Here is a 14,194-nt window from a genome sequence, read left to right as displayed (position 1 = left end):
ACCATGGATGCCTTGTATAACACATTTCACCTTTCTGGTAAAAAAAAAAAAAAAAAAAAAAAAAAAAAAGTACCCCTCTTCCTTTCATTAAATCTTGCTTTTCCCAAAGCCAGTGATTTTAATCTCTTCAAAATACTGCCTTCTAATTTATTAGAATATAGGCTCTGTTAAGGAAAAGGCCTTGCCTATATCTGTTAATAATTTTTACCTTGTAATCACAGTGAAGAGCATTGAATTTGCCACATGGTAAGTATTCAGTAAATAAATAGATATAAGGTGAAATAAAGTAGTCCACCCATCCCTTTTTTATTCGGTTGTTTACTGTGTTCTTGGATATTTTTAAAAATGTGTCTTCACAGATGTAATTTAGAGACATTGTATCTAGTCCACCAAAAAAAAAACACCTAATTTTGATGAAGGAGTCACATAAATTTTGGAAAAGTAATATTTTTATAATATAGTTCCTTTATACATGAATATGATGGGCCTTCTTTTTGACTTGCAGGGTAGTTTATCCATTTTATTTATGTACAGATATTACCTGAATGGTGGACACAAATCCAAATACAAATCTGATCTTGTTGCCCTACTCAAGTCCTCCATTGGCTCTTCATTGCTTATATTATGGTACTATTATTTATGGTAATAATACTCGGGTATGACAAAAGTAACATTTTACTTTGTGTAACTGAAATCAACTTGTTCATTTTACTTAAGGATAAAGTTACCCTTTATTTTCCCCCTGAATAGAAACACACACAATATTCCTTGCATACTTTTCATGTATGCAATGTTGCTTCCCTTCACCCTCATTATTTCTAGTGTTTTTATGCACATATATTGATTATAATGTTCAATCATTAGTAACCTTTCTTTTACAGAGAAAATGAGAAAGTAGATTGTTGTGATTTATCTGTCATATATAAGAATTTTATAGAAGATTAGCAAATTTTATAAATATGCTGTAATAGTGCAATTTTTCAATGTGGAATTGAAAAATTCCACGTTTAGTAATTAATAATATTAATATTTCTATAAAAATTAGAAGCCAAAATTATATGAGCTCAAATTTAGGTTTAGCAATGAATGTTTCAGTAGTTTCTTAGCTAGAAATGATCTACGTATTTAATAAATATCCACTGCTTAACATAACTTTCAACATTTTTTCATGTATGTATTGGCCATTTGTGTGTCTTCTTTTAAGAAATCTTTATTCAAGTCCTTTGCCCACTGTTTAGTTGGTTTATTGTTTCCTTGCTATTGATGTGTTTGAGTTCCTAGCATATTTCAAGTTTTAGTCCCTTATCAGATATATGATTTGCAAATATTTTCTCTCTTTCCATGTCACTTCACTCTGGTTTTTTTTGTTTGTTTTGTTTTGTTTTGTTTTTCTGTGCAAAGCTTTTTAGTTTGGTATTGTCCCATTTGTCTATTTTTGCTTTGGCTGCTTGTGATTTTGGGGTTATACCCAAGAAATTATTGTCCAGATCAATGTTATGGAGCTCTTTCTTCCCCCTCTGTTTTCTTCTAGTAGTTTTAGTTTTGGGTATTACATTAAAGTATTTAATGAATTTTGAGTTGACTCTTGTATAGGGGATGAGCTAAGGATCCACTTTCATTTCTGTGCATGTGAATATCCAGTTTTCCCAGCACCATTTATTGAAGATACTGTTCTTTCCCCATTGTAGATTCTTGGCACCTTTGTTGAAAATCATATATGTGTGGGTTTATTTCTGGGCTGTCTATCCTATCCATTGTTTAGTGTGTCTACTTTTATGGTCGTTCCATGCTGTTTTGATTACTATAGCTTTGTAGTATATTTTGAAATTTAATAGCATGGGTCCTCTAGCTTTGTTCTCTTTGATCAAGATTGCTTTGGCTCTTTGAGGTTTCTGTTACTCTATATGAATTTCAGAAATTTTTTTCTACTTCTGTGAAGAATGACATTGGAATGTTGATAGGGATTGCTTTGCATCTGTAGATTGATTTGGGTAATAAGGATGTTGCAACAATACTAATTCTTTGAATCTATGAGCATGGGACATATTTCATTTACTTGTGTTTAATTCCGTTCATCAGTGTTTTATAGTTTTCAGTATACTTATCTTACACTTCTTTGTTTAAACTTACTCCTAGGTATTTTATTATTTGTTTTATGCTATTGTAAGTGAGATTATCTTAGTTTATTTTGTGCTGCTATAAATAAATTATAAAGAAAATAATTTATTCTCTAATGGTACTAGAGGCTGGGAAGTCTAAGATCAAGGTACTAGCATCTAATGTGGGCCTTCTTACTCTTTCTACATCCTCACATGGCAGAAGATGTATGTATAAAAGTGAATGAACCTATTCCCTGAAGCCCATTTTATCATGGCATTAATCCATTCATGAGGACAAAACCCTCATAACCTAAATACCTCCCAAAAGGCCACACTTCTCAACATGGTTACATTGGGGATTAAGTTTTCTACACACAGTTTGGAGGACACATTCAGACCATGGCAGTGATTATTTTCTTGATTTACTTTTTAAACAGTTTGTTGTTAGTATACAGAAACACTACTGATTTTATATGTTGACTTTCTATCCTGCACCCAACTTTACTAAATTTGTTTATCAGTTTTAACATTTTTTTTTTGATGAAGTCTTTAGGGATTACTTTTTTCTCTCCTATTTGGGTGACTTTTATTTATTTTTCTTGCTTAATTTTCCAGTTAGGACTTCCAGTACTACATTGAAAATAAATGGTTAAAGTGAGTATCATGTCTTGTTCCTGATCTCAGAAGAAAAGCTTTCAGTTTTCACCATTGAGTAAATGTTAGCTGAAAACATAATCATCACTAAAAAAAGTTGTTAGCATAATTACTCACTTTGATTAAAATCAGATTTATAAGTTTTATAATATTCAACACCTATCAAATATAATATTAGCTTATTTGGATAGTAAACCCAAGTAGAATAAAATGTATGTCTCCATTATACTTCATGCTGACAACTCAGTCACATATCTGATTTTATTTAGCCAATACTATCAAATGTCTTACTTATCAAAGATTTATACAAATTACATACCCTTGAAAAACATTTGGATTAGTTACTAAATTTCTGGGAGTTTTAAGGAAGTGCTTATTTTTTTCTAAGCCTATTAGAATAGAATTCTTTTTAAGAGATTGATATAGTTTGGCTGTGTTCCCACCCAAATCTCATCTCGAATTGTAGCTCCCATAATTTCCTCATGTTGTGGGAGGGACCAGTGGGAGATAATTGAATCGTGGGGTTGGTTTCCCCAAAACTGTTTTCGTGGTAGTGAATAAGTCTCATGATATCTGACGGTTTTATAAGGGGAAATCCCTTTCACTTGGCTCTCACTCTTTCTCTTTGCCTGCTGCCATCCATGTGAGACATGCCTTTCACCTTCCACCATGATTGTGAGGCCTCCCCAGCCACGTGGAACTGTGAGTCCATTAAACCTTTCTTTTGTAAATTGCCCAGTCTTGAGTAAGTCTTTATCAGCAGTATGAAAATGGACTAATACAGATATTTTATAAATTAATATGACAATACCAGGCCGGGCATAGTGGCTCACACCTGTAATCCCAAAAGTTTGGGAGGCCGAGGCAGGTGGATCATGAGGTCAAGAGATCGAGACCATCCTGGCCAACATGGTGAAACCCCATCTCTACTAAAAATACAGAAAATTAGCTGGGCATGGTGGTGTGTGCCTGTAGTCCCGGCTACTCAGGAGGCTGAGGCAGGAGGATAGCTTGAACCCAGGAGGCAGAGGTTGGCAGTGAGCCGAGATCACACCACTGCACTCCAGCCTGGCGACAGAGTAAGACTCTGTCTCAAACAAACAAAAAAGACAATACCATCTGGGGGTAGAAAAATGTCAGATATACATAGCAAACATGTATAAACATATAGACTGACACAAATAGAAACCTTACAGATTTCACTTAAAAATTTTAGTAATGAGTTAGGTACAAATACAAAAGCATAAAACTTACTAATTTGTATAAAAGTTGGTTCTCATCTATTCCCACTTTACATTTTTATTAGAATTCTTTCTCTGGAAGATTGGACATATTAAGGTTATCTGCTTAAATGAGGGTGAAAACTTTCCTCTAATATTATGGAGGACTCTTAATATAATATTTTGTTCTAACATATAATTTGATGGAGAAAATGGCTTTGGCCACACGTGGTTGCTTTTGGGGTTTCTGAATTTCTCAAAAACTGAACCCATTGGAGGCAGAGGGCTTAAAGTTAGTATATTCATATCAATAAGGAAGAAAGTGGACAGAATTGGTGTCATAGTAGTGGAGCATACAGTCAGCAGGGGTTGGAGAAGAGGAAGAGAAAGGATCCAGTCAACTGAGAAATTTCCGAGGTAGGAGCAGGATAGGTCAGAGAAACTGGGAGGCCTCAAAAGAAAACACCAGAAAGAACTTCTAGTCCAAAATACTCCTCAAACAAAGAAGGTCAGAGAGTATACTCATGCTGAATGTGACTGACACCAATAAGCCTTTTTATGGCTTAATCATGGACACACGAACTGTCTCTGTCAAAGGCTTAGAAAATACAGTCATCATAAGCCAAAGTCACTCCCAAGGTTAGCTAAAAAGAAGGAAACTAAGTTGCCACAGATGACAAAATCACTGAAAAAGGAAAGAATTTATATTTAGACAATCTGATGAGATTAAGATTACATTCAGTAGAAATATAATGCACCTTGTGTCTCAGGTCCACAACCTGACAGTTGACTGTCTCATGATGCAGACCTCAATACTACTTGGGCCCTCGATTGGGAGTCAGCAGACCTGGGATCTAGTTCTAATGTACATGAGTAAGGAATCATTATGAGTAAGGAATATGAGTAAGGAATCATTTCCCTCTCTGGAGCTCAGTGTGTCCATCTGTAAAATGGGGTGGTTGACTTGCTCTCTTCCTGCTCTAAAAAGCAAGAATTCTAAGTACACATGCATAATTAGCCTATACTGTACATCATACTCCTATTAATATCCTCACTTGATTTCCATGGACAGTTGGCTAGGATTATCCTGATTTGTTCTATCTGTACCACACACAGAGATGAGGATTAGCTCAGAATGTCAAGATGTTCCTGTGCCTTGAATTATATTTCTCACAATCCAGCTGCAAGGAGAAAAGGAGTTTTCACATACCCATATTGTAGACTGCAGCAAGTAATTACATGGACTCTAAAGTCAGAAGAATGAGGTCAGGAACAGCACCATCATTAACCAATTTTCTGGAATTAAGAAACATTTTTAGCCTCTTCAAACCTCAGTTTTCTCATATAGAAAGAAGAGAAGAGAACTGTATTTTTTCAAACTAGTTTTGAGAAAAGTAAGTGTAATAACAGATTTAAAACACTTTTTGCAAGGCCTGGTGAATAATCAGTGTTCAATAAATTTAGGCTACCATCCTCATGTTCCCTAGATTGAAATTTAGACAATGAAGAAGTCACTAGGACTCCTGAATGGAAGAGTGATTAAGGCAATATTCAGTGTAAAATATCTTCTTTTCTCAAATAAATTGAGTGATGCAAAATACTTATATATTTATTAATTCAGTAGGGAGCACTCTTATTACTTGACTTGTTCAGGGAAAACCCAAACGATGTAAAATATTTTAGAGAGGTTTATTGTGAGCCAACATGAGTGACCACAGCCAGAGGGCAACACAAACCTAAGAAGCCTTGAGTGTGATGTCTTGAGGCAGTTAGGTCACAACTCTGTTTTTTACAGTTTAGGAAAGTAGAAGTTACAGGCAAAGTCATAAATTAATACATGAACTGTATATATTGGTTTGGCCTAAAAGATTGGATATCTTGAAATGGCTTACAGGTCATATGTGGTTTCAGAAATTATTTAATTTGCTATTGGCTAAAGGAATAAAGCTTAGTCTAAATATATGGAGTCAGCAGAAATGAATGTTTAAGTTAAAATCAGGAAGTCTGTTAACCAATACACTGGGTCAGAGTGACCTGTAGGGGTGTATGATTTGACCCTTGTCTGGCATGGCCTTAGGTCATGTTTAGAATTTGGATCTTATTGTCATAAGAATCTGTTATTTTAGCCTTATGATTTCTATTTTAAGACCCCATTTTAAGATTTTGAGGGTGTATAAAGAGTAAAGCTGTGAGAACATTTTTGAAGAAGAATACAATGGGAGACAAGAGAAGATGAAGAAATGAGAATTGAAATGATAGGAAAACACAAGAAATTGTAACAGGTGAGGTATTTGAGAAATTCAAGAATTAGAAGTGGCTCCATATGCAAGAGCAGATGGGACCTGGAAGCAACCTATGATTGAAAAACAGCAGAAAAATGATGGGGTTCAGTTACTCAGGAGGCTGAAGCATGAGAATCGCTTGAACCCAGGAGGTGGAGGTTACAGTGAGCCAAGATAGCGCCATTGCACTCCAGCCTGGGCAACAAGAACGGAACTCCGTCTCAAAAAATTATAAAATAAGATAAAATAAAATAAAATAATGGAGTAGAATAAACTCAGGTTCTGGGAACTGAGAGCAGCAGTTGTAAAAGGAGGAAAAGCAGAAGAGAGTTAGCCTACCAGGACTACAGGAGGCACAGTAGAGCAGGAGTGTCTCAGGAAAGAGCTTTCAGAAAAAAAGCTTTCAGAAATAAAGCTTGTGCCCTTTCTCAGTTTCATGTGATGAACTGAGGACCTGCACATCCAACACAGTAGTCACTAGTCAAAGGACCTGTGACAATTTAAATTTAGATTTAAATTAATACAATTTAAAAAAAAGTGTTAAGTTTCTTAGACATACCATGTTTCAAATGGAAGGAAAAAGGAAAGAGGGGAAATATAAAAGGTTAGAGCTAGTCTGCCAAATCTAAAACAGTAATACAAAAATGACTACAAAAAAATCTGTGAAAGCATTGTGGGTGGAGTAGAGTGTGTGTTAGGTGTGAAAAAAGTATCCAGTTGTAAGATTCCAATCTCATCCAAAGTCAGCCTGACCCTCATCTCTCAGGCATATTAATCTGTTATATATACAGGTGTTTTGAGGATGATTTATTTGAGGAAAGGATTGTTTTGCTGAATAAAAATTTGAGAGCCCTAATCGAGGTTAATTTCATTGGACATGGGGGGAGCAGAAGGCTCAAAGTAGGGAGGGAAATTTCACCTATTACATGTTAAACATATAGGGAGGCAAGACAGGAACCTTTAGCTTCTGACTCTCTCTTCACTATAAGCCCCCTCTTTCCAGATAATCCTCACACATAAAAATGTCATGCACTCTGCCCCAGGGCTCAGCTTTTTCTGCTGCTGATTTAAAATTCAAATTAATAAAGTTAAAACCAAATTAAAAATTTCATCCTTTGGTCAAGTACTTGTAGAGTTTGAGAGAGAAAAAGAAAATATGAAACTATAAACAATTATAAGGAGGTTGGCCAAGATGGCCAACTAGAAGGAGCTAATGTGTGCCACTCTCATGAAGGGAAAAGGAAGGGACAAGTAATAATAAATATAGCACCTTCAGTTGAAAGATCCAGGTACACACATTGGGACTCATCAAAGAAATAACCCATGGGGAAGGGAGAAAAGCAAGGCAGGATGACAATCCTCCCAGGAGTGACCCAGAGCCAAGGGAGCTTCCCCAACCCAAAGAAGTGGTAGTCCAAGGCAATTAGGAACTGGAGTGGTCCCAGGGCATAGCCCAGGAACTCTATGGAGAGGCAGCTAGACTGCTTATTCACATGGAACCCAGATCCCATTTGTCTTCACTGGCCAAAATCGCCACCTGGTGTCTCCAGTCATCCAAACTCCAGCCGACAGTGATTGCATACCTCCCTAGGATGAAGCTCCCAGAGGGAGGGACAGATAACCATCTGTGATGTTTGACAGCCTTAGTTGTTCTTGCCTTTGGGCTTTGGAAAGTCTGAGGTGACTGGAGGCTGGAGTAGGCCTCCAGTGCAGCACAGATGCACTACAAAAAATGCAGCCAGATTCCCAATCCTGTTTATGCAGTTTCCCAATCCTGTTTCTCCTCACTGGGTGGCCTCTCTTGACTGGGGTCTCCAGCCACATCCTGCAGGTGTGTTTGGGCTGACAACATGTCCATACCTCCCTGGGACAGAGCTTTCAGAGGGAGGGGCAGGCCACTATCTTTGCTGTTTGACAGCCTTCACTGTTGATACCTTCAGATACTGGAAAATCTGAGGTGACTAGGGAGTGTGGTGGACTCCCAGCATACTGCAGCAGCCCTACACAAAGGTAGCCAGACTATTTGTTATGTGGGTCCCCTATCCCATATCTTCTCACTGGGTGGATCCTTCCTGGGCTGAGTCTCCAGCCACTCCCCCAACCAGGGGTATCAAACCAGTAGTAGCTTTGCAGTTCCCTGGGTTGGAGCTTCAAGTAGGAGGGGTGGGTTGTGGTCTTTGCTGTTTCACAACACTTGTCCTTGCTGTCTCCAGGCCCCTGGTCCTTGTGAACTCTCCAGAATCTGGAGAAATGACAGAAATATAATTCAGAATCTGGACAGAAAAGGTCATCAAGATTCAGCAGAAGACCAAAATTCAATCCAAGGAAACTAAGAATCACAACAAAAGTGTACAGGAGCTGACAGATGAAACAGCCGATTTAAAAAATAATCTAACTCATGTGATAGAGCAAAAAACACACTACAGGATGAGAATTTCACAAGGCAATCACAAATATTAACAGCAGAATAGACCACACTGAGGAAAGAACATCAGAACTTAAAGAGTGGTTTTCTGAAATAAGACAGTCAGACAAAAATAAAGATAAAAGAATAAAAAATAAGAAACAAAAACTCTGAGAAATATGGGATTATGTAAGGAAGACAAGTCTGTGAATCATTTGCATCCCTGAAAGGGACAGGAAGAAAGCAAACAACTTGGAAAACATATTTCATGATATCATCACGAAAACTTCTCCAGCCCCACTAGAGAAGCTAATAGTCAAATTCAGGAAACAGAGAAAAACCCTGTGAGATTCTACACAAAAAGGTCATCCTCAAGACACATCACCACCAGATTTTCTAATGTTGAAATGAAAAAAGGAATGTTAAAGGCAGCTAGCAAGAAAAAGCCGCCATTTCCCTACAAAGGGAAGCCCATTAGGCTAACAGTGAACTGCTCAGCAGAAACCCTATAAGCCAGAAGAGTTTGGGAGTTTATATTCAACATTCTTAAAGAAAAATTCTTAAGCCAAGAATTTAATATCTACGCAAACTAAGCTTCCTTAGCCAAAGAGCAATGAGATTGTTTTTAGATAAGCAAATGCTGAGGGAGGTTCTTTGTTTTTGTTTTTGTTTTGTTTTAACCATCAAACCTGCCTTACGGGAGATCTTGAAAGGAGCACTGAATATGGAAAGAAAAGACTGTTACCAGTCTATACAAAAACACCCTTTAAGCACACAGACCACTGCCACTACAAACCAACCACACAAACAAGTCAGCATAATAACCAGCTAGCAACACAATGACAGGATAAAATCCACACATATCGATACTAACCTTTAATGTAAATGTGCTAAATACTTCATTTAAAAGGCACAGAGGGCCAGGATGGATAAAAAAGCAAGACCCAATGGTATGCTGTCTTCAAGAGACCAATGTCACATGCAATGACACCCACAGACTCCAAATAAAGGAATGAAAGAAACCAGAAAAAAGCAATGGTTTTAACCCTAATTTCAAAGAAAACAGACTTTAAACCAATAAAGATTAACTAAGACAAAAAAAGGGGATTACATAATGGTAAAGGGTTCAATTCAGCAAGAAGACCTAACTAGCCTAACTATATATGCACCCAACACAGGAACACAAAGATTCATAGAGCAAATTCTTAGAGGCCTACAAAGAGACAGAGAATCTCACACAATAATAGTGGGGACTTCAACACTCTGCTGACAGTTTTTAGGCAGATCATCAAGGCAGAAAATTAACAAAGATATTCAGGACTGGAACTCCACTTTGGACCAAATGGATATGATATACTTCTACAGAACTCTCCACCTGAAAACAACAGAATATACATTCTTCTCATTGCCACATGGCACATTCTCTAAAATCAACCACATAATTGGACATAAAAGAATCTTCAGCAAATACAAAAGAACCAAAATCATAACAAACACACTCTAGGGCCACTGCACAATAAAAATACAAGTCAAGACTAAGAAGATCACTCAAAACAATGCAATTACATGGAAATTAAGCAACATACTCCCAAAATGACTTTTGGGTAAATAATAAAATTAAGGCAGAAATAAAGAAGCTCTTTGAAACTAATGAGAAGAAAGATACAACGTATCAGAAACTCTGGGGTACAGCTAAGGCAGTGATAAGAGGAAAATTCTTAGCACTAAATGCTCACATTGAAAAGTTAGAAAGAGCTCAGACTAGCAACCTAATATCACAGCTGAAAGAATTAGAGAAGCAAGAACAAATCAGTTCTGAAGCTAGCAGATGACAAGAAATAACCAAAATCAGAGCTGTGCTGAAGGAAATTGACATACAAAACAACATTCAAAAGATCAACAAATATGAGAGTTGGGTTTCTTTTTAAACACTAAGATAGATAGGCTGTTAGCTAGACTAATAAAGAAAGAAAGAGAGAACATCAAAATAAACACAATTAAAAATGATGAAGGGCATGTTACCTCTGATCGCACAGAAAGAAAAATGTCAATATAATAGTACTGTGTTCACTCTATAAACACAAACTAAACATCTAGAAGAAATGGACACATACACCCTCCCAAGACTGAACCAGGACCAATAATGAGCTCCAAAATTGAATCAGTAATAAATAGCCTACAAACCAAAAAAATCCCAGGACTAGATGGATTCACAGGTGAATTTTACCTGTTGTACAACAAAGAGCTGGTACCACTCTTGCTGAAACTATTCTAGAAAATTGTGGAGAAGGGACTTCTCCCCAACTCATTCGATGAGGACAGCATCATCCTAATACCAAAACCTGGCAGAAAGGCAACAAAAAAAGAAAACTTCAGGCCAATATCCTTGATGAAAATTGATGTAAAAATCCTCAACAAAATACTTGTAAACAAAACCCAGCAGTATATCAAAAAGCAAGTCCACCATGATCAAGTAGGCTTAATCCTGGGATGCAAGGTTGATTCAACGTACATAAATCAATAAAGATAATTTATCACATAAACAGAACTAAAGACAAAACCCACAAATTATCTCAATAGATGCAAAAAAGCTTTTGATAAAATTCAACATCACTTCATGTTAAAAACTCTCAAAAAGCTAAGTTTGAAGGAGCATACCTTAAAATAATAAGAAGGATGTATGACAAACCCATAGCCAAACTCATACTGAATGAACAAAAGCTGGAAGTATTTCCCTTGAAGACTGGCACAAGACAAGGATGCCCTTTCTCACCACTCATATCCAACACAGTATTGGAAGTCCTGGCCAGAGCAATCAGGCAAGAGAAAAAAATAAAGGGCATCCAAATGGGAAGAGAGAAAAAGTCAAACTCTCCCTGTTTTCAGATGACATGATTCTGTACCTAGAAAATCTCATAGTCTTGGCCTAAAAGTTCCTTCAGCTGATAAACAACTTCAGCCAAGTTTCAGGATACAAAATCAACATAAAAAATCACTAGCATTCCTATAAATGAAAAACAGTCATGCTGAGTGACAAATCAGGAATGCAATTCCATTCACAACTGCCACAAAAAGAATAAAATACCAAGGACTACAGCTAACCATGGAAGTGAAAGATCTCTACAATGAGAATTACAAAACACTTCTCAAAGAAATTAGAGATGATACACACATAAAAAAGGAAAAACATGCCATGATCACTTATAAAAAGAGTGAATATTGTTAAAATGGCTGTCCTATCTAAAGCAATTTATAGATTCAAAGTTATTCCTATCAAACTACCAATGACATTCTTCACAAAACTAGAAAAAACGATTTTAAAATTCACATGGAACCATAAATGAGCCCAAATAGCCAAGGCAACCCATGCAAAAAAAAAAACAAAGCTGAAGGCATTATGTTACCTGACTTCAAACTGTATGACAGGGCTACAGTAACCAAACCAGGATGATTCTGGTACAAAAACAGACACATAGACCAATGGAACAGAATAGAGAGCCCCAAAATAAGGCCACACATGTACAACCATTTGATCTTCAACAAAGCTAATGAAAACGAGCAATGGGGAAAGGACTCTCTATTCAATAAATAGTGCTAGAATAACTAGTTGGCCACATGGAGAAGATTGAAACTGAACCTCTTCTTTATACTATAGACAGAAATCAACTCAAGATGGAGTAAAGATTTAAATGTAAAACCCATTCAGTATGATATTGGCTGTGGGTTTGTCATAGATAGCTCTTATTATTTTGAAATACGTCCCATCAATACCTAATTTATTGAGAGTTTTTAGCATGAAGGGTTGTTGAATTTTGTCAAAGGCTTTTTCTGCATCTATTGAGATAATCATGTGGTTTTTGTCATTGGCTCTGTTTATATGCTGGATTACATTTATTGATTTGTGTATATTGAACCAGCCTTGCATCCCAGGGATGAAGCCCACTTGATCATGGTGGATAAGCTTTTTGATGTGATGCTGGATTCGTTTTGCCAGTATTTTATTGAGGATTTTTGCATCAATGTTCATCAAGGATATTGGTCTAAAATTCTCTTTTTTGGTTGTGTCTCTGCCCGGCTTTGGTATCAGAATGATGCTGGCCTCATAAAATGAGTTAGGGAGGATTCCCTCTTTTTCTATTGATTGGAATAGTTTCAGAAGGAATGGTACCAGTTCCTCCTTGTACCTCTGGTAGAATTCAGCTGTGAATCCATCTGGTCCTGGACTCTTTTTGGTTGGTAAGTTTTGATTATTGCCACAATTTCAGCTCCTGTTATTGGTCTATTCAGAGATTCAACTTCTTCCTGGTTTAGTCTTGGGAGAGTGTATGTGTTGAGGAATTTATCCATTTCTTCTAGATTTTCTAGTTTATTTGCATAGAGCTGTTTGTAGTATTCTCTGATGGTAGTTTGTATTTCTGTGGGATCAGTGGTGATATCCCCTTTATCATTTTTTATTGTGTCTATTTGAATGGGCAAAAACTGGAAGCATTCCCTTTGAAAACTGGTACAAGACAGGGATGCCCTCTCTCACCACTCCTATTCAACATAGTGTTGGAAGTTCTGGCCAGGGCAATTAGACAGGAGAAGGAAATAAAGGGTATTCAATTAGGAAAAGAGGAAGTCAAATTGTCCCTGTTTGCAGACGACATGATTGTATATCTAGAAAACCCCATTGTTTCAGCCCAAAATCTCCTTAAGCTGATCAGCAACTTCAGCAAAGTCTCAGGATACAAAATCAATGTACAAAAATCACAAGCATTCTTATACACCAACAACAGACAAACAGAGAGCCAAATCATGAGTGAACTCCCATTCACAATTGCTTCAAAGAGAATAAAATACCTAGGAATCCAACTTACAAGGGATAGGAAGGACCTCTTCAAGGAGAACTACAAACCACTGCTCAAGGAAATAAAAGAGGATACAAACAAATGGAAGAACATTCCATGCTCATGGGTAGGAAGAATCAATATCGTGAAAATGGCCATACTGCCCAAGGTAATTTACAGATTCAATGCCATCCCCATCAAGCTACCAATGACTTTCCTCACAGAATTGGAAAAAACTACTTTAAAGTTCATCTGGAACCAAAAAAGAGCCCGCATCACCAAGTGAATCCTAAGCCAAAAGAACAAAGCTGGAGGCATCACACTACCTGACTTCAAACTATACTACAAGGCTACAGTAACCAAAACAGCATGGTACTGGTACCAAAACAGAGATATAGATCAATGGAACAGAACAGAGCCCTCAGAAATAACGCCGCATATCTACAACTATCTGATCTTTCACAAACCTGAGAAAAACAAGCAATGGGGAAAGGATTCCCTATTTAATAAATGGTGCTGGGAAAACTGGCTAGCCATATGTAGAAAGCTGAAACTGGATCCCTTCCTTACACCTTATACAAAAATCAATTCAAGATGGATTAAAGATTTAAACGTTAGACCTAAAACCTTAAAAACCCTAGAAGAAAACCTAGGCATTACCATCCAGGACATAGGCATGGGCAAGGACTTCATGTTCAAAACACCA

Source organism: Homo sapiens, chromosome 5 (genome assembly GCF_000001405.40).
Source record: "Homo sapiens chromosome 5, GRCh38.p14 Primary Assembly".
NCBI classification, from domain to species: Eukaryota; Metazoa; Chordata; class Mammalia; order Primates; family Hominidae; genus Homo; species Homo sapiens.
Note: the sequence above shows the minus strand (reverse complement) of the source record.